The sequence below is a fragment of the Homo sapiens genome, chromosome 17, assembly GCF_000001405.40.
Source record: "Homo sapiens chromosome 17, GRCh38.p14 Primary Assembly".
Taxonomy (NCBI): domain Eukaryota; kingdom Metazoa; phylum Chordata; class Mammalia; order Primates; family Hominidae; genus Homo; species Homo sapiens.
The window spans coordinates 31,539,985-31,567,586 of record NC_000017.11 but is presented as its reverse complement, the minus strand read 5'-3'; the positions used below and the strand labels follow the sequence as shown (position 1 = coordinate 31,567,586).

The 27,602-nt window shown below is 51.6% G+C and overlaps 2 non-coding genes and 1 pseudogene across 2 annotated transcripts, besides 6 other annotated features; 1 reads left to right on the top strand and 2 right to left on the bottom strand.

Moving 5' to 3' along the window:
- Window positions 3,696-3,817, top strand: RNU6ATAC7P (RNA, U6atac small nuclear 7, pseudogene; annotated as a pseudogene).
- Window positions 7,504-7,591, bottom strand: MIR193A (microRNA 193a). Its single transcript, NR_029710.1, has one exon. It is a non-coding gene; the product is annotated as a microRNA 193a (primary transcript).
- Window positions 7,788-8,578: an enhancer, noted in NCBI's record as "H3K27ac-H3K4me1 hESC enhancer chr17:29886028-29886818 (GRCh37/hg19 assembly coordinates)". NCBI's record gives its function as "activates a minimal SCP1, AML or CMV promoter by ChIP-STARR-seq in naive H9 embryonic stem cells {active_cell/tissue: H9 hESC(naive)}" and the evidence as "EXISTENCE:reporter gene assay evidence [ECO:0000049][PMID:30033119]".
- Window positions 7,788-8,809: a biological region, named in NCBI's record as "H3K27ac-H3K4me1 hESC enhancer GRCh37_chr17:29886028-29886818".
- Window positions 8,320-8,809: a silencer, noted in NCBI's record as "silent region_8413". NCBI's record gives its function as "represses an Ori minimal core promoter by ATAC-STARR-seq in GM12878 lymphoblastoid cells {active_cell/tissue: GM12878}" and the evidence as "EXISTENCE:reporter gene assay evidence [ECO:0000049][PMID:35858748]".
- Window positions 9,912-10,536: an enhancer, noted in NCBI's record as "NANOG-H3K4me1 hESC enhancer chr17:29884070-29884694 (GRCh37/hg19 assembly coordinates)". NCBI's record gives its function as "activates a minimal SCP1, AML or CMV promoter by ChIP-STARR-seq in naive and primed H9 embryonic stem cells {active_cell/tissue: H9 hESC(naive and primed)}" and the evidence as "EXISTENCE:reporter gene assay evidence [ECO:0000049][PMID:30033119]".
- Window positions 17,170-17,879: a silencer, noted in NCBI's record as "silent region_8412". NCBI's record gives its function as "represses an Ori minimal core promoter by ATAC-STARR-seq in GM12878 lymphoblastoid cells {active_cell/tissue: GM12878}" and the evidence as "EXISTENCE:reporter gene assay evidence [ECO:0000049][PMID:35858748]".
- Window positions 17,442-17,513, bottom strand: TRT-CGT4-1 (tRNA-Thr (anticodon CGT) 4-1). The gene has a single exon. It is a non-coding gene; the product is annotated as a tRNA-Thr (tRNA).
- Window positions 25,887-25,936: an enhancer, noted in NCBI's record as "active region_12016". NCBI's record gives its function as "activates an Ori minimal core promoter by ATAC-STARR-seq in GM12878 lymphoblastoid cells {active_cell/tissue: GM12878}" and the evidence as "EXISTENCE:reporter gene assay evidence [ECO:0000049][PMID:35858748]".

Here is a 27,602-nt window from a genome sequence, read left to right as displayed (position 1 = left end):
CTGATTAAATAAATTTGTCAAACTTTTCTCCTGTTAACCTGTCTTTGTTACAGAAATGTCAGCCGTGACCCTTACGGGGAGGAAAGGGATTGCACCTTTCTGCCCCTACAACCCCAGCTACACAACTTCAGTCCCCTGGGCTGCTTAGCTCTAATATGATTACACATCTAAATGCAATACATGGAGCAAAGTGGTATGATTTTTCTGGGAAAAACCAACATCATAAAAGGGTCTTTATTGAATCAAAGGGCTCATGAACTGTTCTCTTGCCTAATTATGGCTCCCAAGTGAACAAGGCTGGGTTTCCAGGCAGGACTCGGCACAATTCTCCAGCCCAAAGACCAATGGGCTATTTGTCACAACTTGTCTAATTACAACGAAATCTACCCCAAGGACGAAAGGGAGAATGCCAAGATAGGTTGGCAGCAGCCCCCTCCCCGCTCCGGCTCTGGAAGCAGGGAGCTGGTCCTCAGGCCTCTCTGTATGGCAAGGAGCTGCCCCCTGCTCCTTCCCCACCCCTTACACTCAAAGTCAGGATCCTGGACCCTGCCCCTTCCCGCAGTTTAGTTTAAGTGGTTTTCCAGCATCCCAGTACTGCCCCCGTAACCTCATCTCTATAGAGAAGGCCCATTGTCGAAATGTGGTATTTTGGCAGATGTTTGAACATTCAGAGATTTGGCCGAGGTTAGCGTGCACCCAGGCCTGAGCAAAGATAAACGTTTGCCATCACCAGACACAGAAGGAGGAGAGAGGGTGTACGCCTCGGGCCAGAGGAGGGTTCACCCTCCACACCAACCAGACCAACCAGCTGGAGCAAGCAGTCTAGTTGACTTTTCCCAGATACACAGTGGTCTGGCTGGGCAAGTTGAAGACTAACATTTTGCTTGTACTTCAGTATCTGTTTAATCGCCCTCGAAGTTTCAAAAGCAAAGACACTTTTCAAGAGAGACAGGGTCTTCCTCTATTGCCCAGGCTGGAGTGCAGTGACCCAGTCAATCACAGCTCATCGTAACCTTGAACTCCTGGGCTCAAGCGATCTTCCCACCTCAGCCTCCTGAGTAGCTGGGACTACAGGCACACACCACCATGCCTGACTAATTTTTCCTTTTACTTTTTCAGAGGCAGGGTCTTACTATGTTGCCCAGGCTGGAGTACAGTGGTGTGACCATAGCTCACTACAGCCTCAAACTCCTGGCTCAAGCAATCCTGTCTCGCCCCTGCCTCCAGAGTAGCTGAAACTACAGGTGTAAGCCACCACACCCAGCTAATTTATTTTTTATTTTTGTAGAGATGAGATTTTGTTATGTTGGCCAGGCTGGTCTGAACTCCTGGCCTCAGCTGATCCTCCCACTTCAGCCTCCTAATGTGTTGGGATTATAGTCGCGAGCCACTGAACCCAGCCTTTCTCTTTTTTAAGATATGGCCCCCTCCCCACCCTTCTCATGTTAAGCCCACAAAAGCAAGCTTGACAAGAAGGAATTCAGCAGAAACTCATCCTGACTCTCCCACTAACCTCTCCCCTCAGATAGGCTTAAGTGGCGGCCGCATGAACCCAACCCCCGGAAAAGGCTGTGACTCCTGGCCCCCCACCTCCACCCTACGCCCCTCCCAAGTGGTAGACATGTCTCACTGAAGAGGCAGGACCCACACAAACTCACCCCCACACCCCACCAGCAAGGATTTGCTTTTCTTCCAGTGTTTTCTCCCCAGATACTAAGCCAGCAAGCAGGCACACCAGCCTCAGCTGGTCCTTCTTTGACCTCATTGTCCCATGGACCCTGGGATGAATATGGTGTCACCCGGGAAGAACTACCATGTACCACCCCCGACCATGCGCCTGGTGTTTCACACAGACATTCTTGTTCAGTCCTTATAATGCCCTGAGAAGTAGGCACGTATTATCACAGACAGGGAAATTGAGTCTTGGGAAGACGCCCCAGGCCCGACACAGCTAGTCTACAGGAAAGCCAGGTTTCTGATGCCAAAGCCCACGCCCTTTCCCTGTCTTAAGCAGAGAAGCATTTTCTGTTTTCAACCAGCCTGCTGGAAAGCCAGGTGCTACCAGCTAGTAAGCAGCAAGACAACCGAATTCTTTTCAGGAGGGTGGGAGACATGGGCGAAAAAGAGGGTTTGTTTTACAATGGACAAGGAGGGAAAAGAGAGTTATTTCTTAAATATTTGCTTGGGAGACCAGAATTTAAGCCTCAGTCACCAAGAAGGAAAAGCCAGTGTTTTCACTTGAACCCCACATCCCCCAGGGCAGAAATCCAGTGAGAGGAAGCGAGTTTCATGAGAATGAACCACAAAGTCTTCATAGGCCGATCCAAATTTCCCAGCTGCAATCTCTGAATCCCTCCCCCAGCCCTCCCATCCTCCAAACCACAGCCCCAGGCTCCACCCCGTGCCTTCCTCAGCTCCTCCTCCTTAGGATCTTAGAAGAATGCCAAGGGGGGTCTGGTGTATTCAGTTCAGTCACCCACTTGACAGAGAAGGGGGCTCTCAGGCTGCAGTGATGAGCTCAGAGGAAAATCAGGCAGCGGGACTTTCCGCATGGCACCTCCCTGCCCGGTTCTCCTGGGCAGCAAATGCAAGGGGTCTGGCTATGGGGTGATTTCAAAATTCCTCAGACCGTGCCAAAGGGAGGAGGGAGGAAGTATCCACAGTGGGTAAGATGTCACCTGCTCTGGGTCCTGTAAGCCCTGCCCCCTGCCCAGAGCCAGTGAGGCCTGCTGAAGGCTCTTGGGTGCTGAAAAGATTATGGTCTATCCCTACCTCCAGTCCAAAATTCTAAAGAAAAACACCACTGAGCCATAAAAAAGTCTAAGTCCCAAGAAATTCTGATTTTCACCCCCAAAATGATTACTCTGCAGCATTTTTTGGAATATCAAATTATTTTCTCCTCCCCCGCACCCCCATTCCATTTTGTCCCCTGCTTGCCTGGTCCCACTAGAGGATGTTTAGTTTGCCCACAGCATGAGTGAGGGAGCAAGCCTTGAGCAGCTGTGGCAATTCAAATGTCTTTCCTGGGACCTTTTCTGAAACGTGCTCAGTGTCAGGACCGGACGAGTCTTTGGGCCTTTAGGAGTGATGCACTGCTGAGCAGATGTACAAGGCGGCCACATCTGCTACCCAGGGTTCCTTTAAGGACTCAGTGCCAGCGAATCCAGGCCCAGCCACCTCCTGTTCTACAGCCCCAGCTTGCTGGCTTCCGACCTGGGAGGCTGCACCTGGAAGCCTGGGGGTCCTGCTCCTATGGTACCGAGGCAAGCTGGGAGATTCTGGGAGGGTCTCTTCCCCTGAGTCTCGACTTCAACCATACAATGAGGACTTACAATACCATTAATCTGCTCTCAGAGCTGGGGCAAAAATCAGAGCAGGCAGCGAGGGACCGTGCCCATCTTACTAACGGATACCCCAGCCTCTGCCTGGCCCAGTCCCTGGCACATAGTTGTTAGACCACAGAAACTGAGAGGATTGAGACCCATATAGGGGATGGGAATCCCAGACAGTATCCCCATCTGATGGTTACGATACCCCTGTTCCCAGTGGATTAAGTAACTTGCCCAAGGCCACATGCTCCCAAGCGATGGAGTTAGTCCTCGAACCTACCAGACCCACAAGCCCGAGTCTCAATCACTCTGCACCGGTCTCAACCAACATGTATATACACGCAGATTCAAAATAAGAGAGCTGGATTGTATGAAAGGAGAGAAGGTTAGCACTCCCCTTGACAAGGATGGAAGAGGCCCTTGGGCCTGACGACACGCATATAGTTAAGGTACTGCCACCTACATCGTGGCATCTAAACATCATTTTTTTAATTTAAAATAATAATTTAAGGCAGGGCGTGGTATTTCACACCTATAATCACAATACTTTGGGAGGCCAAGGTTGGGGGATCACTTGAGGCCAAGAGTTCAAGACCAGCCTGGCAACATGTTAAAACCCCATCTCTACTAAAAATACAAAAAATTAGCTGGGCATGGTGGTACACGCCTGTAATCCCACTGAGGCAGGAGAATCACTTGAACCCAAGAGGCAGAGGTTTCAGTGAGCAGAGACCATACCACTGCACTCCACCTGGATGACAGAGTGAGAATCTGTCTCAAAAAAAAAAAAAAAAAGAAAGAAAGAAAAAAGAAAAAAAAAAAGAAAGAAAGAAAAAAGAAAAAAAAAAGAAAAATAAACAAGCCGAGCACAGTGGCTCACACCTGTAATCCTAGCACTTTGGGAGGCTGAGGCAGGCAGATCATTTGAGGTCAGGAGTTCGAGACCAGCCTGGCCAACATGGTGAAACCCCATCTCTATTAAAAATACAAAAGTTAGCCGGCTGTGGTGGTAGGCACCTGTAATCACAGCTACTCGGGAGGCTGAGGCAGGAGAATCGCTTGAACATGGGAGGTGGAGACTGCAGTGAGCTGAGATCGTGCCACTGCACTCCAACATGGGCAATAGAGTGAGAATCTGTCCCAGAAAAAAAAAAGAAAGAAAAGAAAAAGAAATAAAATAATAATTTGAAAATCTTTATTAAAAAAAAAAGAGCCAGGGGACAAAGACTACCAGTCGGAGATCTACTGGTTTGTGCCAGACACCCTGACATACATCTTTCGTAAGCTTCGCCACACACTTACAAGGTAGGTATCATAACCCTCATCCCGCAAGAGAAGAAACTGGGGCACAGAGAAGTCACTGGGCCAAAGCCATGCAGCTGGTGAGCCGCAGTTGGAACCCAAGCACATCTGGACGCAAAGTGCGCCTCCATGGCCTTCACACTGGGCTGCTTCAAGAAAAAAACCCTTCACGGAAACCAAAATGATCCCTTGCTTCTGAGACAACTCTCTTTCAGGGACTTATCACAGATTAGGAGTGCTGTTCTTTTGTGTAAAAAGAACTGAGACTGGCCAAATATTTACCAGCCCGCGCAGAGGGCTGTAGACTGGCCCAGCAGCGGAATTAACTCCTCCTGCAGTATCAAGGGCCAAGCTGTTGCTAGACAAAGTGGAGGAGAGAATCCTCACCATTCAGACAGCTCAGCTTTGGGCAAAGAGGAACCAAAGGAAACCCAGGGAAGCAGCCAGGGGCTCGGCAGGGATGGCCACCAACAAAACCCCGGAGGGATTTCTTCTGAGGTTCAGAACTTCCAGAGTTGCTAGGAGTGAAGATGAGAGGACTGGCTTCTCCCAATACTTCCTTTGTCATTCCGATCCTGCTGGACAAAAACTGATCTTCAATCTTTCATAGGTTGGGATTTTTCTTTTTCAAAAAAAAAAAAAAAAAGCCAAAAAGGCAAGGTTAATTATTCACCAGTCTGCAATTTACCTAAGAGTTGAGGGAATGCAAGTTTCTTCCCAGTAGGCAGGACAGGGAGTCCAGCTGGATTTTTAGGAGTCTTCCGTCAGTCTCCCTGCAGGTCTCGCTAAAACCCTCCCCCTCCTACCAGCTTTCTACCTTGCATTTAGCTGCTTCCTGAAGAAGGCTCCAGGGTAAATCAGTCTATGTTCAAGCTACTTCCCCTTGAAACCTTGAGGTACCCATCTTTGAAAGAGGGACTGGGGGTGGGGGTAGGAGCCAGGAAGGAGGCCTCTGCTCCAGGAAACTATGAATTCAAGAGAGAGCAAAATCAAAAAGCTCTCCACTACAACACAATTCCTCAATACAACGGCTTACACGGAAGCATAAATCAGTTGCAGGAGGCCAGGCTAGCCCAGCCTACTGCATAGCTGATTCAATCACATTTTGCAAAGGAAAAAAACCCAAGAAGGAAAAACCTAATCACTCACTTCCCCCAAAGAAACGAAGCACCAAGTCATTTCCTAAAAATCTCTAAAGCCCTGGCCAGACCCAGAAAGAATGGGGCACAGCCTGAGGGAAACTGCCGGGGGCACCACAGTGCTCCTCAGGCCTCATTCCCAGCCCTGTGAGTCCACCTTCCCCAGCCGGTCCCCTCCAGGGTGGGTGCAGGGCAGCCAGCCAGGCCTGCTTTTCGGCATCTCATTGCTCCAGCCCACTTCTGGGATGTTTTATGACCACGCAATATTCTGGAGATTTCCACTTCATTTACTTTTAGACACTGATCCCCAGGGCTGGGAGAGGCATTGGTTCAAAGGGAGAACTTTGTTTTCCCAAGCTGATTCAGCGCTCCAAAGAGCATTTTTCTTAATTAGGGGCGAGGTCTCCAGTTGAAGCTCCCATCAGTTCCACTCCTAGACAATTTTGTCTCCAAACTAAGAATTTGTCAAGATGTTCAGAAATCTACCCCATGGCCAAACTCTTTTCTCCCATAATTCTGACATCTGCATGTTCCACTGGGTAAGCCTCCAGGACAAAGCTAACATGGACAAAAGTCAGGCCAACTGCAGGACGGGGTATGTCCCTTCCTGGCCTCCCAGGCCCAAACCTGCCTCCCTGACCCCAAAACACACCTGACTGCCTACCACACACCTGACTCCCCTGTGTTGGCTCCCACATGCCCCCAAAACAGGGACAACAGTATGGGCAGGACGCCTGCAAAGGACTACTCTACACGTGGCCTGCAGAGGCAGGGAGCCTGTGGGAAAATGCCTCTTGAATGGGTTTTTACACGACCTGGCAAGGGGTGGGCCAACCTGGCCGTGATGGTTCCTCCCTCTCACCCTCCCTCCTCCCAGCTCCTAAAAACCTCTCCTGTTTTCCAAAGCCAAGTAAGACAGGGACCAGACGTTCCCTATTTTGTCAACCAGTTCTTCACACAGTTCAAGTCACCTCACTGCATGTCCCCAGATGTTTTTCCACGGCCAAGAGCCAAAAACACAACACAAACAAAGGACAAATAACCAAAGTTCCAACACCAGGCAAACCCGAGGTTTCAGGGGTTGGTGGGTTTTTGTTTTCGGGGAGTAGAAGCAAACGCACTAGAGGAATAGATAAGAGACTTTAAAGGAGAGTTTAAGGAATTCCAGCAAAAAACTTGAAGAGGACTAGAGTGGGTCCACATTATGTTGCATCGGTCAGGGAACAAAAGACCGGCCATTGGGAACACATCCACAAAGATCCATCTTTAATGAAATGGTGTTTGGGAGAGGAACAGGGGCTTCCTGCGCCACCGGGCCAAACCTCCGCTTCCCACCTCCCCAGGGGCAATTCTAGAAGTCAGGCCCCGTTCTCCCCACCCCCAAGCTCAAGGTTGCCGCCCTGGAAAGCACAGCAGGGCAGGCCTCGGTAAGTGGCAGGGCTTGGCCCATGGGTAAGCCGGGTCCCGTCTGTCCACTCAACCCAGGTCGCCGGGGCGCGGTCCACGTCTGCCCAAAGGGTACGGACCCCAAGCAGTGACCGACTCACACTTCCGAGAGCGTCGCTATTTCTCCAGCGAAGTGCGGGGATTTCCCGAATCACCGCACGCAGCCGGGGCGAGCGCACCTCACCACTCCTTCTCCAGCGTGGACCTGAGAGGCAGCCTGGCCGGAGCGCACGCCAGCCCGGGAGGAAGCCGGCCTGGGGCGAGGACCGGGGAGAAGACGCTGGTCCCGGGGGCCGAGAACTGGGACTTTGTAGGCCAGTTGATCCGACACCCTCATCTCGCCCGCAAAGACCCAGCCCTCAGCTCCCATCCTCGGAGTTCGGGGTGCGTCCCCGACGGGCTTCCCGGGGCTGGGTCCGGTCGCCGGCTCTGTGCACCGCGCTCCGCTCCGCCGAAGCTCTGGGTGTCCCTCAGGCGGCGTTCCCCGGGAAAGTCCACCGCCCCGCCCGACCTCGGGTCGCGGGCTCCAAACCCAGCCCTCCAAGGGTTACACGACGCTCGGCGGCCTCCACGCCACCCCCGGGCCGCCTCGGCTCAGGCCGAGGGACAGCGCTGGGGGAGGGGGAGGTGCGGGGACCAAAGCCTCCCCACCGCAGCCCCACTCCCGAGTGGGGCGCAAGAGTTATGCGCCGAGAAACTTCGCCACGCTCCCACGCCGCGCCTGCGAGGCCCAGCTCCGCTCTGCCTCGGTTACCTGCGCTCAGCTCGGCGGGCGAGGGGCGCGGGGCGCGGGGCAGGAGCCGTGGCCGACCTCTCGCAGCAGGCCGCACCCTCCCGCAAGGCCGAGCCCGCACCGCTGCCTGGGCACGGGGGCCATAGCCGCTAGCCGGGGCCCGCGCCCCGACGTTCCGGGAGCCCCTCGAACTCCTGGCCGGGGGCCGTGGCCTCGCTCGACCTGCCCGGGACCTGGGGGCCGCCGCCGCCCCCTCCGCTAGGAGAGCGAGCCCGACGAAGCCGGGAGAGGAGCGGGGCGGCGAGACCCCTCGAAAGTTGGGGGGGTCGGCTTGCTCGCCGCGGCCCGACCTGGCTCCACGTGCTGGTGACACATCAGGAAGGCTGCGCGCCCCGCGGCTCCCGGCGGGCGGACGCGGCCAGCGCCCGCCCGCACCGCCTCCCGGAGCCGAGCGGACGGCGCCCCGCCCCGGCCCGCCCTTCGCCCGCCCCTAGGCGGCACCGCCCCCGGCCGCGACGCCCGCTCCAGCCTGCGGCACCGGCGGGAGAGACCCTGACGGCGGTGGGGGGTGGCCCGGGTTCCCAGGTCCCGGGTGGCCCGCACTGCCCCGGGGATGGGGTCCCGACGCGGGCGGCCCTACTCGACAGTCTGGAGTGCCTTCCTCCCAGTCACGCAGTCCTTCCCGCCCCGGAGCCCAGTAATTTTCCCTTTTCCTCCTTTGACCCGTCCGAGCAGCTGCCAGCGCTTCCTCCCGCGGAGACCGGCGCGGGGAGCCCCCTGCCGGCCGCTCCGCTCCCGGGCCGCGCCCCCGCCCGGTGGAGCGCGCCTGCCGCCGGCCTCAACTTCCCCATCTAGAACCTGGAGCCGCCGGGCACTTCTGGCAGGGCTTTGGTGGCAAAGATTATAAATTAAAGTGCCAAGCATAGTACCGGGCAGCATACTTTCTTGAGATGTTAAAATTTCGTGCTTTCAACTCCCAGTTCCAGCGGCCTGCAGACAACCTCTCTTCCTGGCTGTGCTGTTTGAAAAGCTGAGTTCCTTTAGGGAGACTGTGGAAAAGGAGTGGGACAGAAAAGCTTTGAGGCTGAGTAAGAGCTGTCCCAAGATTAGCGAGGGGTGGGAGGTCAGTGGAATCCCCTTGGTGGAGACCTGCTGCCCCACTGTCTCTCCGGAGACGCCAGGATGTGGGAGAGTAACTGCGTGTCTCCTCTGGGACCTGAACCAGGCCTCTACCAAGATCCCCAGCCTCAAGATGGCCAGGATTCCAGGCACCGTGGGTGATGGGGAAGCCCAAATAACCACTGAGGTTGAGTTTCCCAACCTCTTCAGGTCGAGATTTGGAGCCATTTAAAGAAAATAACGTGACATATCTGTTTGTGTCCCGACATAGATATTAGCTATGTTCCTGCCTTCTCTTTCCTGGCCTCACCAACCCAGATCATGCCTTTAAATCTCACTATGAGGCTGGGCACGGTGGCGCACACCTGTAATCCCAGCACTTTGGGAGGCCAAGGCAGGATTGCTTGAGCCCAGGAGTTTGAGACCAGCCTGGGAACATAGTGAGACTCTGTCTTTACAAAAAGTTAAAAAAAAAAAAAAAATTAGCTGGGCGTGGTGGCACACACCTGAGGTGGGAGGATCGCTGAAGCCCAGGAGTTAGAGGCTACAGTGAATTATGATCGCACCACGGCACTCCAGCCTGCGTGACAGAGGGAGACCCTGTCTCTAAACTTCACTTTGGTAAGGGTTGAGTGGTATATCTGGTTTATCTGATCCCCACATCGGGATCCCTGGGTAGGACATGTCCAGGAGCTGGTGCTCCCAGGAGTGCGTAGCTGGGGGAGGGATGGCGGCCAAGCGCTGGCAGAGATGCCCAGTGCTGGGGCATGGACAGCGCTGGCCCCAGGCCTCTGTAATCGCCATTTTGTGGGAGCGCAGGATTAGAAGGGAAGAAAGAAGATGCCCTGACGTTGCTGGAGATGCAGCCGGGGCTGGAGGGGGTCTGGAGTTAGTGTTCTGCTTTCTCTTCCCCTTTTATTGCTCGCTCCAAATCTGACAAACCCTTAGGATCTCTGAGACTCAGGAGCCGGGAGGAGCCGGTGTCCTGGGGGGATGAAAGGGCAGGGTTGTAATGGGTTTACCCCGGTGCTGATCCCAGAGAAGCTCGAAGAAGATTAAGATTTGCTCCCTGGGCCTGAAATCTCCCTGCTACCCCCTGACCACATCAAAGGACACGGCCGTGGGGGGTGCCTAATCCCATCAATGGAATCAAAGCTGGACAAGAAAGGAAATTCTTCGATCTTGGGGCAGCAGCAGGATGCAGCTCACTACAGAAAGGCAGATCGAGGTCCTGGCCTTTTCCACTGGCGGGAACATCCCAAGAAAGATCCAGTCCACAGGCAGATAGGGCCTGCCCTTTTCTTCCTGAGGTGGCCACTGCGGGAAGGTCAACCACAAGAACTTGGGATACCCAGCAGCAGGACTGGGCCTGCCTCCAGGGGCAGAGAAGGACCCCGGGGGCAGGGGGTGGGGGCTCACCCAACATCCCAACATCATACAGCTTTTCTGGCTCCCAGCTTGACTTCTGGAAGGGGCTTTTGCATGTGACACTCCTTGCCACCAGCGTTTCCCAAAAGGTGGTGCTCATATGAGAGATGGTTTTAGATGGAAAAAAATGTAATATGTAGTATTAAATATAAATTTTCTGAATATTGCTGTTACAATGAGGCAAAAATGGTTAAAGTGAGCCAACTCAAAGACAAGAATTTAGTAAATAATGTTATAGGTAGTATTCTGATATGACAACAATAATGGCAGTGGTATGCAAATGCAAATTACTAAAGTTAGAAAAATAGACCAGGCGCAGTGGCTCAGGCTTGTAAGCCACAAGCACTTTGGGAGGCCAAGGCAGGCAGATTGCTTGAGCTCAGGAGTTCAAGACCAGTCTAGGCAACCTGACGAAACCATGTCTCTACAAAAACAAAAACAAACAAAAAAAATTAGCTAAGCGTGGTGCCGCGCACCTGTAGTCTCAGCTACTCGGGAGGCTGAGGTGGGAGGATCACTTGAGCTCAGGAGGTTGAGGCTGCAGTGAGCTGTGATCATACCACTGCACCCTAGCTTGAGCAACAGAGTGAGACCCTGTCTCAAAAATTAAAAAAAAAAAAAAAGAAAAGAAAGAAAAACACTCCTTTCAATCATCTTTAGAGAAATGTTGCCTTAGAACAGTAGCTTTCAAACTCAGTCATGCCCCATGATAGGAAATACCTGTGTGTGTACGTATGTATATATGTGTATGTATCTATGTACATGTGTAAAACAAATGTTTTATGAAACAATTCTTATGCACTCAAATATATATTCTGTGTTACCGTTTCATTTTTAGAATGCTGTTTACAAGCTGTTAAATTGGTTTCACTTAACAGGGTTACCTCCTGCTGTTTGAGAACTTCAAGAACATACCATGATGATGATGATATTAACATCTCTCTGTTATTTTTATTTATTTATTTATTTATTTATTTGAGACAGAGCCTCACTGTGTTGCCCAGACTGGAGTGCATTGGCGTAATCTCGGCTCACTGCAACCTCCGCCTCCCAGGTTCCTGCCTCAGGCTCCCTAGTAGCTGGGATTACAGGCGCCCGCCACCATGCCCAGCTAATTTTTGTATTTTTGGTAGAGACGGGGTTTCACCATGTTAGTGAAACCTGACCTCGGGTGATCCTCCTGCCTCAGCCTCCCTAAGTGCTGGAATTACAGGTGTAAGCCACTGCACCCGGCCCAGAAAGAGTTCTGAGAGAAGACATACGCATCCTGGGGACCAGAGGGAGAAAAGGGCTGGTGATAACCTGAAGTACTTTGTAGGTGACTATGGAATTTGTGAGGGTGATTTTCTCAGCATATTCTGCTTAGATGGCAATGCACCTGGGTTTTGTTTCTCTCGGCCCAAATGATCTGGACCAAGGGAGAGCCCCAGAATCAGGGGAAAGGCAAGCAGGAAGGGAAATCTTTACTGCAGAAAAACTACTCTGGCATTACCAGACTTGTCACTGCTTATGGCCTGTTTCGATTCCTCACCTTCTCTGCAACCTTCTGAGAGTTATTTCCTGCCTCTGAAGTTCAGTTTCCTCATCAGCAAAATTGGGACGTGATTTTTTTCTCTGTGATTTCTCCCAACTTGATTGTTCCATTACTGGAGGATGAGAAGTTGAGTTTTCTTTTTCTGACCTTCATTCATTCAGCCAACAAATGAAGAGCCTCATTTTATATACCAGGGGAAGAGAAGACAGGACGCTTGCCCTCAAGCAGCAGCAGAGGGGTAAATTCCCCAGAAAGGAATCCATTGTCTCCAGGTGTTGTCATATTTCAGCAATGCCATGGCTGTGCTTTCAGCTGAATTCAGTTTTCCTGGATGATGGGGTCTGGGGAGGAGGCAGGTGACCTGAGGCTCCCTACCCAGGCTGGCCTTCTGCACGTGATGCTGAGGATGACTCCTGGGAAGTGAGGTCACACAGTGATCCCTACTGGCCCCAGGTCCCAGCCCTCTTACTCAGTGTTCTTTGAAATGCTTTCAGTAGCCAAAGCCCATGTCTGGAAAATATTAGAGCCCTTGATCCAGAAGTTAAGCCTTTGGCCTATGAGCTTTATCTTTGCCCTCACTCTCTGTGACTGAATTGATTCTTGTCTTTAAGTTCCCACTCTGTGTGTGATGGTCACTGTGCCATGTTACCCCTTCAAGAAAGGGTTTGTCCCAGCTGCTTGGAGTGCTGTCAACAGACTGTCTTCTGCCATTAGAGCCGCCTAGTCTAAGCTCTCTGGACAGCCCACATCCAGTGAGTGGTGGGGGAGGGGGGCTCTCCCTCATTTCACACCTGCTTCCCACCCTTTCCCAGGTGGAATAAGCATTCTGCACATTAAGCTCTGTCTAGGGGTCTGCCTTCTGGGGATTCCAACCTTTGACAGTGTATATCTGTGTCCCTCTCTTGCCCCTAAAGCCTTAATATTGTAATCAAGTATAGTGATTTTGGTCACCATCTGCTGTTCCTATCGATCAGGCATGAGTGTTTGACAAGTGAGGTGCCAGTTTGGCCTACAGGCTGGCAAAGAGATAGACCATCTCCTGGGTGCATGTCAAGTTAATAATGAAGATGACTTTTCCTAGAAGATTTGAGCTCATGCTGTAGACAAGCATAATATCTATGATAAAAGTAGAGCTTTCTGGGTGACCTAGAACAATCACTTTCCTTCTCTTTGCCTGTTTCTGCAGTGTGAAATGAGAGGGTTGGCTGGTTTCATTTCTATCAGTGTATTATTCCAAATTGGTAAATTTGTCCCCAAGTATGGGGTTAGACCTTTGGGGTTTGCTAATAAAACCATCTACAGGGAATGAGAATTTGTTTCTTAATTCAAAAATTGATTTTACCTGCAGGTTAGAGAGGCCACTGCGGAAAGAAAAGAACCCCTGCCTGCTTAGATGCAACCTAGATCATGATATTTGAGTGTCAAAGATGACTGAATGAGGGCAGAGATACCCAAGACCTGGTTGTGCTCTGGTGAGTTCGTATTCATCCTGCAGAGCCCAGCCACAATGTCACTCCTCAGGGAAGTCTTCCTTAGCCCTTCAGGTCAGGACCTTCCTTGTGCCAAGGCTCTGTCTCTGTTCCAGCTGCTGGAAACACAGACATGAGTGAGACACCATCCAAGTCCTAAGGGGCTTCCAAGTATGGTGTGAGACACACAGAGGGGTCCCAGACAAGAAACTGAGGGACTCCTTACCTGGGGGAATCAGAGGCTTCTCAGAGGAGGTAATACCAGAGTCTCGCCACAGGCAACCAACCTGACTCCGATCCAGCGTCTGGATCTAACTGCCAATTTGATTTGCAGGAAGTACTGAGGACTGAGGAGCTTACTGGGTTGCACCAAGAGTTTGCAGTAAGCAAGATCTAGACTGTGGGAAACCCTCCAGGTGCAGTGGCCCAGGGTCCTCAACAGACACACTGCCAGGAAATGAAAGGGAAGGAAGGGGTACCTCCTGATTGAAAAAAAAAGCTTCTATCCATTTTTTTAAATGAGCAAAGTTAAACTATAGTGTACAAAGATGTCGCGATGCTCAATTAGGTGATAAACTAAAATGCAAGGAAGTGATTAGAGGGTAAGGATACTTATGGCCCTGGGGAGGTTGTGATTAGGGGGGGACACACAAAAAGGGTTTCTGGGGTATCCGGCAAAATTCTCTAATTTGGATAGTGTTCCCCTTATAATTCATTAAGGCATTCACTTGATTTGTGTGGTTTTCAAATTTGTTTTATTGTATGGTAAAAGACTTAAAAACATATTTCTTGGGCTGGGCACGGTGGCTCACGCCTGTAATCCCAGCACTTTGGGAGGCTGAGGCAGGCAGATCACGAGGTTAGGAGTTCGAGACCAGCCTGGCCAACATGGTGAAACCCTGTCTCTATTAAAAATACAAAAATTAGCCGGGCATGGTGGCAAGTGCCTGTAATCCCAGCTACTCGGGAGGCTGAGGGAGAAGAACTGCTTGAACCCAGGAGGCGGAGGTTGTAGTGAGCCAAGATCGCACCACTGCACTCCAGCCTGGGTGACAAGAGTGAAACTCCGTCTCAAAAAAAAAAAACAACAAAAAAAAAAGCATATTTCTCCAGGCTGGTATTGGGCTAAAACTTATAGAATGAGGCATAATATATAGACTTGCCAAATTCTGGTCTATGTTTTAAAAAATATCCTGGAGGTTTTAGCTGCCCACAAATGACTGTGTCTGCCTGCGTGGCTCTCAAAATGCAGTACCAGAGGCCCTATGTTTTGCCCTGGACACTAAGGAGGAGCAAAAGGGAGGACTCTACCAGGGGTAACCAGCATGGGCGGAGCCTTTGCAGCTCCAGCGCTTCCCATCAGGGAGGACTGCTTATAACTCCCTGGATGGAGGAGCCCTGGTCACATCTCATCATGAGGTTGCAATGGTCAAGCCCCATTGCAGAAGGGGCTACTATGATGGGTGGGGTGGCCTGTGATCCCCTTGCTTCTGCAAGGTCCAGGCTCTGAGGTAGAAACCTAGAATTTCAGGACACAAGGCATTTAGGACATAGCTCTTTCAACTGTAGAATTTTACAACTAAGGAAGCTGAAGTCCAGGGAGTATCAGCGATTTAATGGAGGTCATGCAACAAACTCAACATATGTGTCCCTTTCTGCCCCTGCCTTCAATTCTGTCCTTATTCTTTAAGCCAATGACCTACCCCTGGCTCCACAGGGGTGCATGTAGATACCTGCTGGCCTTCAAGGTAATTACAAGATTTCTGTTCCCCAGGCTCACCCTGGTGCTTGTATCTGACTTGCCTTCACTTCTAGTTCCTCTCACAAAACTTGACCTGGAATCCATACTTGACCCCTGCCTCTGGTCCTTCACTTTTGGAAGCCCATGTTTCCCCAAAATCTTTACACTGACCTCTTCTGTACCTTGCACTTTTTTTTGAGACAGTTTCTCATTGTCTCTCAGGCTGGAGTGCAGTGGCACCATCTCAGCTTACTGCAAACTCGACCCTCTGGGCTCAAGCGATTCTCCCACCTCAGCCTCCAGAGCAGTTGGGACTACAGGCATGTGCCACCATGCCCGCTAATTTTTTTGTATTTTAAATAGAGACAGGGTTTCGCCATGTTGGCCAGGCTGGTCTCAAACTCCTGACCTCAAGTGATCTGCCTGCCTCAGCCTCCCGAAGTGCTGGGATTACAGGCGTGAGCCACTGCGGCTGGCAGTTTTTGTATTTTTTATAGAGATGGGATTTTGCTGTGTTGCCCAGGCTGGTCTCAAACACCTGACCTCAAGTGATCCATCCACCTTGGCCTCCCAAAGTGCTAGGATTACAGGTGTGAGCCACTGCACCCGGCCCCTTGCATTTCTCTTATATTGACTTCGGCTTGGCTTGTCCCTCTGCCCTCCGCTGGGGTGGAATTCTCTGCTCCAGCTCCTTCAGAAAACCCAATGTTTGGCCGGGCACGGTGGCTCATGCCTGTAATCCCAGCACTTTGGGAGGCCGAGGTGGGTGGATCACGAGGTTAGGAGATGGAGACCATCCTGGCTAACACGGTGAAACCCCGTCTCCACTAAAAAATACAAAAAAAGTTAGCCGGGCATGGTGGCGGGCGCCTGTAGTCCCAGCTACTCGGGAGGCTGAGGCAGGAGAATGGCGTGAACCCAGGAGGCGGAGCTTGCAGTGAGCCGAGATCGCGCCACTGCACTCCAGCCTGGGCCACAGAGCGAGACTCCGTCTCAAAAAAAAAAAAAAAAAAAAAAAAAACGGAAAACACAATGTTCAGTCTTGAAGCTCCTTCTCATCAGGAATTTGAAGGGACAGGATTCAAGGCAATATCCAGTAGAGCAGGACTTTTCACCTTCCTATTTCTATGCCTGAATATCTGGACTCTGTTTAGGCTGAGGCGCTTGTCAAAAAAGGCCTCAATTTGTATTTAATAACACTTTCATGATGACACTGACACCCTAGCTCGGCATTACCTTCAAAAGCCAAGAGCGTCTCTTCCATTTATTGGGATCTTAGAGAAAAGGTCAATATTTCTCTGCTGCCTGGGCCCTATACCTTCTCTTCTGATAACCTGAGACTCTTCTGACATTCAGTCCACCTAAAGCTCCTCATGGTCATCTGTGCAACAGGCCTCAGAGAAAGTAATGTGGTTTTTCAGGGCTACATTAACAGAAGTATGGGGTATAGAATGAGGGAGGTGAAGTTCCATTCATAAGACTCTGTCTGGAGTAGTATGTTCGGTAGGGAGTGTTACAATTGAAGAGGAGGACAGACAGAGCAGTGTATCAAAAAGAGGGTCCAGGAATGGGAGGAGGCGCTCAATGTCATGTTATTAATATGTTAAATCAGACTGTTTATCCTAGAGATGATGTGGGGAGTGTCATAACTGGCTGGGGGCAGATTCAAAGGATCAGTTCACCAGGACTGGAAAAGAAGCACCCACCAGTTGAACAATCTGGTTTGCTTTGTAGACAGGAAGACAGGCAGTGCGCATGGCCTGCATAATTCACCTTCCAAAGAACAATCCAGAAACCACCGTTCGGGAAACTCAGGCACCCTCTCTGGAAAGTTGCCCCGCCATAACACTCGCAAATCGGGCGGGACCCGAGTCCCCGCGGGCCACCTGGACCTTAGTGTCCCCATTGGCGAAGCAGTGAAGACGACTCCGGCTCTGCGAAATGCGGCTGGGGGAAAGGAGACGCGGGGACCGGCGGCGAGGGCGCACGCGGCGCGGCGGGGGCCGAGCTCACCTGTAAGGTGGACCCTGGAGTCTCGAAGCCCAGGTGCACCGGCCCCCGCCGACCGCGGAGCCCGGGGCAGGAGACGAACTGGAGGGCGACTGAGCAGAATCCGAAAATGGAAAAAATGCCACGTAGAAGGGACGGCGTACGTGGAGAAAACCCGACTTCCCCACAGCCAAAGCCCTACCTCGGGTCTCAGGCACGGACGGGGTTCGAACCCGCGATCTTCGGTTTACGAGACCGACGCCTTACCACTTGGCCACCGCGCCTGACAGCCCAGGGACCGGTGGAATCTCTCAGTGGAGGGGAGGTGGTACCGGCTGGGAGCTGCGGCCTCGGCCCCGCCCCCGGTCCCGCCCCCGCAAGCCCCACCCGCAAGCCCGGGCTTGACTCTGCGAGCACCGCTCCCGCCCGGTCAGGGGCAGGTCCCGCGCCCGCCGCCTGCGGGACCCGAACCGGCGTCTTGAGAAGCCCGGCCCTCCTCCCTCCTCTCTCGCCCCGCGCCCGCCGCGAGCGATGCCCCGAGACCCAGCCCACGCCTAGAGCGGGCAGCGGCCTGGCGGTGGGGTCGAAAGCTACGGCACAGAGCCGTGCCTGAGTCGGAAAGAAGCCTCGGCGGAAGCGGAAGCGGAAGCGGAGATGGCCGCAGCGGAGCGGGCAGGGGCCGTGTGTGACCCTGGCCGGGTCATTTCCGTCGGGCCGGGCAGGGTCCGTGGGGGCTCGGGCGGGGTTGGTGGGGACCAGGGCGCAAGCCAAGAAGGGCGGCGCGGCCGGGGGCGGGGACTGGGACGGGGCCAGCGCTCCGAGGAAGACGCGGGGAGCCTGGGGCATGGGGCCAGGCTCGGGGCGCCGGGAGGTGACCTTCCCTCGCTGGCCCTGCACGAAGCACGACCTTCCTCGGGTTCAGCTCGCTCCCCTTGCAGCCCCTGGCAAGGAGGACCCTGAGCATCTGTGTAGCCTGGATGACCTTGCCCCGGAGGAGCCGAGGTGGGCACGCTAGGAGAGGCCCCCAGGGATGACATGGCGACCCGAATGGCAGAATCATGTGGTCTCTCATACCGCGGAACAGTAGGTCACGATGAAAAGGAACCATGCGGATTCAAAGGACTGATTGTCAGCTTAGGCAGAGCCCAGAAACACACGTGAAAATTTACTGGAAAAACAGAGAGGGAGCCTGGGACTGGGGATGGGGGACAAAGGGGACTTTAACTTAATTGGCATTGTTTTGTTTCTAGTCTATGGAAGAGGCAGAGGTGGGAACACGAGTGCCTATTAGGATACTGTATACTTTTTTGGTAAATCTTTTATTTTCTTTAAATTAAATAAAGGGGGGAATTAGGTCCCCCTGTTCTTGTTTGGCCTGTGGCCACAGCATCTGTTCCAGGAGAGAGGTGAGTCTGCATGGGTGGGGGAAGAGAAGCCCTTATCTCAGGGCAGGGCTCATGCTCGCTGGGGACAGCCACCCTGCCACCACCACTGCCAAATTAAGCCTTATTTGTGTGCAGATTTTTTTTTCTGGAGACAGAGTCTTGCTCTGCCCAGGCTGGAGTGCAATGGCACGATCTCGGCTCACTCCAACCTCCACCTCCCGGATCCAAGCAATTCTCCTGCCTCAGCCTCCCAAGTAGCTGGGATTACAGGCACCTGCCACCACTCCCGGCTAATTTTTTGTATTTTTAGTAGAGATAGGGTTTCATCATGTTGACCAGGCTGATCTCAAACTCCTTACCTCAGGTGATCCACCCGCCTCAGCCTCCTAAAGTGCTGGGATTACAGGCATGAGCCACCGTGTCTGGCCTCCTCTCTATGCTTTTAAAAACTCTCTGGACTCGGCCAGGCGCGGTGGCTCACGCCTGTAATTCCAGCACTTTGGGAGGCCGAAGCAGGCGGATCTCTGGACTCAACTAATGATGCTGGAAAAACCGCATATCCACATGCAAAAGAATGAAGTTGGACCCTAACCTAGCACCATATACAAAAATTACCTCAAAATGGATTCAGGACATAAACATAAGACCTGTAACTATAAAAATCCTGAAAGAAAACAGGGGGAAAGGTCTACAACATTAGATGTGGCAATGATTTTTTTAGATATGACCCCAAAAGCAAGAATAGACAAATAGGACCAAGTCAGACTTTATAAAAACTGCACAGCAAAGGAAACAACAGAATGAAAGGCAATCTGTGGAATGGGAGAAAATATTGCAAATCAGATATCTAATAAGGAATTGCTATCCAAAATAAAATTTAGACTCCTACCACTCGACAACAACAAACAACTCACTTAAAAATGGGCAAAAGGCTGGGTATGGTTGCTCATGCCTGTAATCCCAGGCTTCCCTTGGGAGGCCAAGGTGGGAGGATCACTTGAGGCCAATAGTTAGAAACTAGTCTGGGCGATATTGTGAGACCTCATCTCTACAAAAAGTAAACTAAAACAAGGCAGGCATGATAGCACCTATAGTCCTAGTTACTTGGTAGGCTGAGGCAGGAGGATCACTTGAGCTCAGGAGTTCAAGGTTGCAGTGAGCTATGATTGTGCTACTGTACCCTAGCCTGGACAACACAGCACAAGAAAAAATAAAGTGGACCTTTTCATCAGTTATAACAAGTGCACAACTCTTGTTCAGGGGAAGCTGTGCAGTTGGGAGGGCAGAGAGTATGTGGGAGCTCTCTGTACTTTGTGCTCAGTTTTGCGTGAATCTAAAACTGCTCTGAAAAATTAAGTCTGTGAAAAGGAAGAAATGAACTACCAAGTCATGAAAAAAACACAGAAGAATCTTCAATGTATATTACTAAGTGAAAATGCATACTACTGCTATGGTTTGAATGTGTCCCCTAAAGTTCATGTGTTAGAAACTTGATCCCCAATGTGGTGGTCTTGGAGATGGGACCTAGTGGGAAGTGTTTGGGTCATGGGGCCACTACCCTCATAAATGCATTAATGCCATTCTCAAAGGAGTGGGTTCATTATAGAGCAAGTAGTTTTCTTATAAAAGAAGTTTGCCTTCCCACCCTCTCTTTGCCCGGCCTCTGGGTTGATGAAGCAAGAAGGTCCTCACCAAATGCCAGCTCCTCGATCTTGGGCTTCCCAGCCTTCAGTCCCACGAGCCAATAAATTTCTGTGCATTATAAATTACCTAGTCTATGGTATTCTGTCTTAGCAGCACAAAACGGACTGAGACAAGCTAAACTGAAAAGGCTACATACTGTATTATATGACATTCTAAAAAAGGCAAAACTGTGGAAACAGTAAAAATATCAATGGTTGCCAGGGGTTGAGGGGTGGGAAGGATGAGTAGATAGGGCACAGAGAGTTTTTAGGGCAGCAAAACTATTCTGCATGATATAATGGTGGATACATATCATTATATATTTGTCAAAACCCATAGAGGGGTTCTGGGCTGGGAAAAATAAAGAAAAAAAAATCCCATAGAACGTTCAACACCAAGAGTGAACCCTGGTGTAAACTATGTACTTTGGATGATGATGTGTCAATGCAGGGTCATCAGTTGTAACAGATGTACCACTCTAGTGGAGGATGTTGATGGCAGGGGAGACTAGGGAGATACGGCGGCCATGGGTATATAGGGAACTCTGCTTTCTGCTTAGTTTTGCTGTGAACCTAAAACTGCTCTTTAGAAGTCTGTTTTACAAGGCCGGTTGCAGTGGCTCATGCCTGTAATCCTGGCACTTTGGGAGGCCAAGGCGGGTGGGTCACCCAAGTTCAGGAGTTCGAGACCAGCCTAGGCAACATGGTGAAACTCCATCTCTACTACAATACAAAAAATTAGCTGGGTGTGGTGGCATGCACCTGTAATCCCAGCTACTCAGGAGGCTGAGACAGGAGAATTGCTTGAACCTGGGAGGCAGAGGTTGCAGTGAGCCGAGATCATGCCATTGCACCCTGGCCTGGACAACAGAGTGAGACTCCATCTCAAAAAAAAAAGTCTCTTTTACAAAAACGGGGCTGGTCTCTGTGACTGACACGCATAAGGTCAGGAGTTCAAGACCAGCCTGACCAACATGGTGAAACCCTGTCTCTACTAAAACTACAAAAATTAGCCAGGTGTGGTGGTGTGCACCTGTAGTCCCAGCCACTTGGGAGGCTGAGGCAGGAGAATTGCTTCAACCCAGGAGGCAGAGGTTGCAATGAGCCGAGATTGTGCCACTGCACTCCAGCCTGGGCAACAGAGCAAGACTCCATTTAAAAAATAAATAAATAAATAACAAGAAAAATAATTTTTGAATTCTTTCCTCTCTGACCCCCTGCTATGAATCATTATCAACCCTGGGCCACATTGTAGTTGCCCTTTGGTGGGGTCACTGTGGGTTCACCCAGGTCCACTTCTCAGCTGGGTAGGCCTAGGAGCTGGTTCTGGAACACAGAGCTCCAAGTGGGCAGGAATCAAGCCTTACTCACCTTCATACAGCGTGGTCATAAGAGCACCTAGTCATTTATTCCTTCAGCAAATCATTGAGCATCTACTGTGTGCCAAATACTGTTCTCAATGCTAGGGCTATAGCGGTGAACTAAGCAGCACAGATCTCTGCCCTTATGGGGCTTCCATTCTTAAATAAGCAAAACATACAGTCTATCAGTTGGTGAGAAGTACTAGGGAGAAAAATACAGCAGGGAAGGAGGCTAGGATGTTCTTCAGGAGGGGGAGAGTTGCAGCTTTTTTTTTGAAATGGAGTCTTGCTCTGTCGCCAGGCTGGAGCAGAGTGCCGCTATCTCAATTCACTACAACCTCCACCTCCTGGGTTCAAGCGATTCTCCTGCCTCAGCCTCCCAAGTAGCTGGGATTACAGGCGCGCACCACCACACCCAGGTAATTTTTGTATTTTTTTTTTTTTTAGTAGAGACGGGGTTTCACCATGTTGGCCAGGATGGTCTCGATCTCCTGACCTCATGATCTGCCCACCTTGGCCTCCCAAAGTGCTAGGATTACAGGCGTGAGCCACCGCGCCTGGCCAGGTTGCAGTTTTTTTGTTGTTGTTTTTTTTTCTTTTTTTCTTTTTTTGAGACAGAGTCTCGCTCTATCGCCCAGGCTGGAGTGCAGTGGCGCTATCTCAGCTCACTGCAAGCTCCACCTCCCGGGTTCACGCCGTTCTCTTGCCTCAGCCTCCTGAGTAGCTGGGACTACAGGCCCCCGCCACCGCGCCCAGCTAATTTTTTGTAGTTTTAGTAGAGACGGGGTTTCACCGTGTTAGCCAGGATGGTCTCGATCTCCTGACCTCATGATCCGCCCGCCTCGGCCTCCCAAAGTGCTGGGATTATAGGCATGAGCCACCGTGCCCGGCCCGGGTTGCAGTTTTAAATAGGTGGTTGCCTGGTGCGGTGCTCACATCTGTAATCCCAGCACTTTGGGAGGCCCAGGCGGGTGTATCACCTGAGGTCAGGGGTTCAAGACCAGCCTGGCCAACATGGTGAAACCCCATCTCTAGTAAAAATACAAAAAATTAGCTGGGCGTGGTTGTGGGTTCCTGTAATTCCAGCTGCTCTGGAGGCTGAGGCAGGAGAATCGCTTGAACCTGGGAGGTGAAGGTTGCAGTGAGCTGAGATCACACCATTGCACTGCAGCCTGGGCAACAGAGCCAGACTCCGTCTCATAAATAAGTGGGATAGCTTAAATGCAGTCACAAATTCTTTGCAGCTTTTCCCACCTAGAGGTGGAGTCTCTTCTCCCACTTTTTGGTACAGGCTGGCCATGGGGCTTGCTTTGACTAAAACAATGTGGCAAAAGTGATGTTATGTAAGTTCTGAAGCTTAAGGCCCCAAGAGAGGCAGCTTCTGCCTCCACTGTCTTAGGAAATTGCCCTGAGAATGCTGTGGAAGAAAGGCAGTCTAGCTACTGAAGGTTGAGAGGCCCCGAGGGTCATTCCAGCTAACAGCCAGCACCGTCTGCCAGACATGTCAGGTAGCCATCTGGGACCTTCCAGCTCAGCTGATGCCTCAGCTGGATGCAGCTGCAAGATCGAGCCCAGGCACACCCAGCAGAGGAACTGCCAGCCTACCACAGAATCAGGAAGGTAATAAATCATTGTATGCCTTAGGATTTGAGGGTGGTTTGTTACATAGAAGCAATAGTTCATTGATACAGGAGGCCATATACAGCTTACACACCTTTCCATTCTAGGTTTGTGGGCTGCTGGTTATTTGTATGGAGTAGGCAAAAGTTAGTGATGCAGGGTAACTTTGGCAGAGGCCATGTACAGTGTCCCTTCAGCCTCCATTTAGTCTGTTTCCTCATCTACAAAATGGGAGAGTTAGCCATTAGCTACAGCCCTGTGTTAATTATACATTGAGCAAGATTCATTATCCACTGCTAAAGTGAACAGCGGAATGAAATGCCAGCTTGACCCTTCTGCCTTTGGTACAGTAACACCTGACACTTTTCCCTTTGATCAAATTTCACAGCCACCAGAAAAGGTCTAAATTAAGGTGCTGTTAATAGGAGGGAAAGTCAATGCAACTTGAGACTTTTTGGAGAATATGTGGCCACTTATTTATTCATTTATTTCTTATTTATTTTTTGAGACTGATTCTCACTCTGTCGCCAGGCTGGAGTGCAGTGGCACGATCTTGGCTCACTGCAACCTCCGCCTCCCAGGTTCGAGCGATTCTCCTGCCTCAGCCTCCCGAAAAGCTGGGACTACAGGTGCCCACCACCATACCCAGCTAATTTTTGTATTTTTCATAGAGATGGAGTTTCACCATGTTGGCCAGGCTGGTCTCAATCTCCTGACCTCGTGATCCGCCCGCCTCAGCCTCCCAAAGTGCTGGGATTACAGGCATGAGCCACCACGCCTGGCTTTATTCATTTATTTAGAGACAGGGTCTGGGCTCTGTCAACCAGGCTGGATTCCTTCTGGGATGGGGGATCTTCTGAGAGGAAGCCTGGTGGAGAGGAAACTGGAGGCCCTGGTGTTTCAGGTACCTACTGCTGTGTCTAATCAACTACCCCAACATTTAGATCTTAAAATAACAACTTTATTGTTTTCCATGGCTCTGTGGGTTGACCAGGCAGTTCTGCTTCATCTGGTGGTTGCTGGGGATTTGGGATGGCCTCACTCTCCTGCTAGTCTTGGCTGGGGCCTCAGTTCTCCACGTGGCTGTTTGAGATTCCTCACAGCTGGGTTTTCCAAGAAGGTGCATTTTAAGAGGAAGGACGCAGAAGCTGCTGATCTTCTTAAGGTTAGAGCTCAGAAGTCCCAGAATGGGCCGGGCGCAGTGGCTCTCACCTGTAATCCCAGCACTTTGGGAGGCTGAGGCAGGTGGATCACCTGAGGTCAGAAGTTTGAGACTAGCCTGGCCAACATGGAGAAACTCTGTCTCTATTAAAAACACAAAAAATTAGCCGGGCATGGTGGTGGATGCCTGTAATCCCAGCTACTCAGGAGGCTGAGGCAGGAGAATTGCCTGAACCCAGTGAGCCGAGATCACGCCATTGCACTCCATCCTGGACAAGAAGAGCAAAACTTCGTCTAAAAAAAAAAAGTCCCAGAATGTCACTTCTGCCTCAAGTGATGCATTTTTGCATCTATTCATCAAAGCAGTCACAGAATTAGCCCAGATTCAAAGAGGTGAAGAATAAACTTCACCTCTCAGTGGAATAGTGGCCTGCACCCAGGGAGGGAATAAATCCATGGTACTTGTCTTTGGAGACTGTATCACACCTGTCATTCACTGGCTCTGTGACTTTGAGAGTAGACACAAATTGAACTCAGTCCTGGGGCTGGGTTCAATCTTTACAAAGATGTAAAGAGATACAAAGTGGGTCTCCTTTGTCTCTGCCCCACCTCAAAAAATGGTCTCATCTTGAGGGCTCACTAGTGGGAGTATTTGGAGCAGATACTCTCCCACGTTCCTTCCAGCCCTGATGGCCTTCAGAGCCCACGCTCATAGCCCCCCAACTGCAGAACCAAGGTCTGAGGGTCTGGCCCAGGCTCTGCCAGAGCTTGGCAAAGTCCACCTTTTGGTCAGGGGCTGCCTGCTGACCTGGGTAAGCTGGGAAAGCCAACCCTGAAACCATGGCCAAGTGGTGGCAGAGCTGGAAAAGGTATTTCTCCCTGGAGGGGCCAGCTGGGCTAGAAAGCAAGGGCCGAGAGTCCACAAGCTCCCGTGGGCTTGGTGCTGTCAAGCAGGCTGTAGGAAGTAGGCTCATAATTCAGCACCTCTGCACCCTGGGTTTGGGCCTTTCAGAAACTCTAGCTCCTTTTTAAACCCAAAGGCCACACCAGTATGGAGCCTAAGACAAAGCCTGATACCAAAGTCAGAGCTTGGAGTTTGAAGTGAGAGCCAGACCTGAACCAGGGGTGGCAGGAGAGTGAGGGGAACTTCCTGCAGCCCTAATCCCAGTCACCTCGTTAGTTCCAGGGAGGTCTGGCTTCAAGCTGGCTACAGAGGTCCTGGGCCCTGGAGCCCCCAACCGCTCCCAGTGGACTTGGTGCAGGGTTGACCCCCTCAGCCCACTTTAAGGCACAGTCCAGCCAGCCAGGCTGAGCCACAGTGGAGCTGCCACCCTTCTTGGTCCTCTCTTCTGCCCCGCATGGCTGTGAGCAGAGCTGCAGGCCCTACCTCCTGGCTCTGCTCCAGTTGTGCTCATGTCACAACCCCTCGTTCCTGGAGAGGGGACCCAGGCTCCAGGGCTCAGCATGTGTCCTGACTGTTCTGTCTGCCTTCCCAGCCTGCAGTGACCCCGCCCCATCCGAGCTTGAATCCCAGGTGAATCCCTGCTGCCTGGGCTTGAATCCCAGGTGACATGTGGCCAGTGAGTTCACCTGTGGTGGCTCAGTTTCCTCATCTGTAATACTACCCACCTCATAGGGAGTTGTGAGGGACAGATAACCCAGGACATGCAAAGCACTTGGAACACTGCCTGGTCTAGAGTAAGCCCTAAACAAGTGCAAGCAATCTAATAACCACCTCATTGGTGCCTTCTGTGGGCCAAGCACTGGGTTAGCCTCAGGGATTTGGGAGGGGAGGGTGGTAGAGGGAGGAATTAGGCCAAATCCTCTTCCCCAGGGCTCGAGAGAGTGGACAACCAGCTGGACTAACCAAAAGAGAGGAACTGGTCCCACCCTCTCAGAGCACCCCGGCTGCTGACCTGATGGGTCTCTGGACCCAGTGGTTAGTGGTGCTGCCGCCTGCTGCTCCCAAGGGACCTGGGCCTGAAGCCTGGTTCTAAGAATGAGGGGCTTTCCGCCCTGGGGAGTAGCTTGATCATTTTCTGGAGAAATGGCCTAGCTGACGTAGACCCTCCCAGCAAGGCTGTGAGAAGTCCGACTCCCTCACCCGAGCAACCACCCACCACCCTAACCCCAGTGTGACTGTATTTGGAGATGAGGCTTTTGAGGAGGTAAATAAGGTTAAATGAGGTCATATGGGTGAAGCCCTAATCCAACAGGTCTGGTGTCCTTCTAAGACAACAAAGAGACAGTAGAGAATGAGCTCTTTGTGAGCACACAGTGAGAAGGCAGCTGTCTGCAGGCCAAGGAGAGAGGCCTCACCAGAACTCAGCCCCACTGGCACCTCAAGATTGGACCTCCAGCCCCAAGAACTGCGAGAAAATAAGTGTCTGTGTAAGCCTCCCAGCCTGTTGTGTTCTGTCAGGTCAGTCCCAGCTAAGACACACCCCAGTCCAGGCTGCCCTCACCTCTCACCACCCAACTCTGAAACTGACCTGACCAGGCCACCCCCAGCTTAAAATGCTTTGGCGTAGTCCCCACAGTCCCGCTTACCATTGAGCTAGCTGGTTCGTAGTTCCTCCCCATGGCAAGGCCTCCACACCTGCTGTTCCCTCTCCTGCTTCCGCCCTGCCCTCCCATCTCCCTTACCTGGCCAGCCTCTCCTCCTCCAAGTCTCAGTTGAAGCCTCCTCAGGTGAGTCTAAGTGCCCTTTTTATACCCCATGATTCTCACCATTGGCTACACCTTGGAATCACCTGGGAGCTTTAAAAAACATCCCAGTGTCCAAGCCCCACTCCCCACCAATGGAATCAGAATTGCTGGGGTGGGATGGTTTTAAGAACCTCTCTTGTACATTCTAGAGGCTCCCTGTGCCACGAGCCCAGCACCTCCCCTGCACCCCGCATCTGTTAGGTGCTGGTAAAGCATCTGCTTAGTGAGTGAATGTGATAGATCCACCCTTGGCCCCCTAGACTCTACACCACCTGGCTAGGCTGCAGCCCTCCACTATCCCCCTCTCTAGTACCCTGAAAGGGCTGTTTCTCCAAGTCTCCTCCCCATGGCAGTTCCCTTAGATCCTACAGTCTGAGTTCCCTTAGATCCTACAGAGCTCTGTTGAAAGGCTCCTTCCTTGAGAGAAGCCATACCTGATGCCTGAGTGGGCTCAA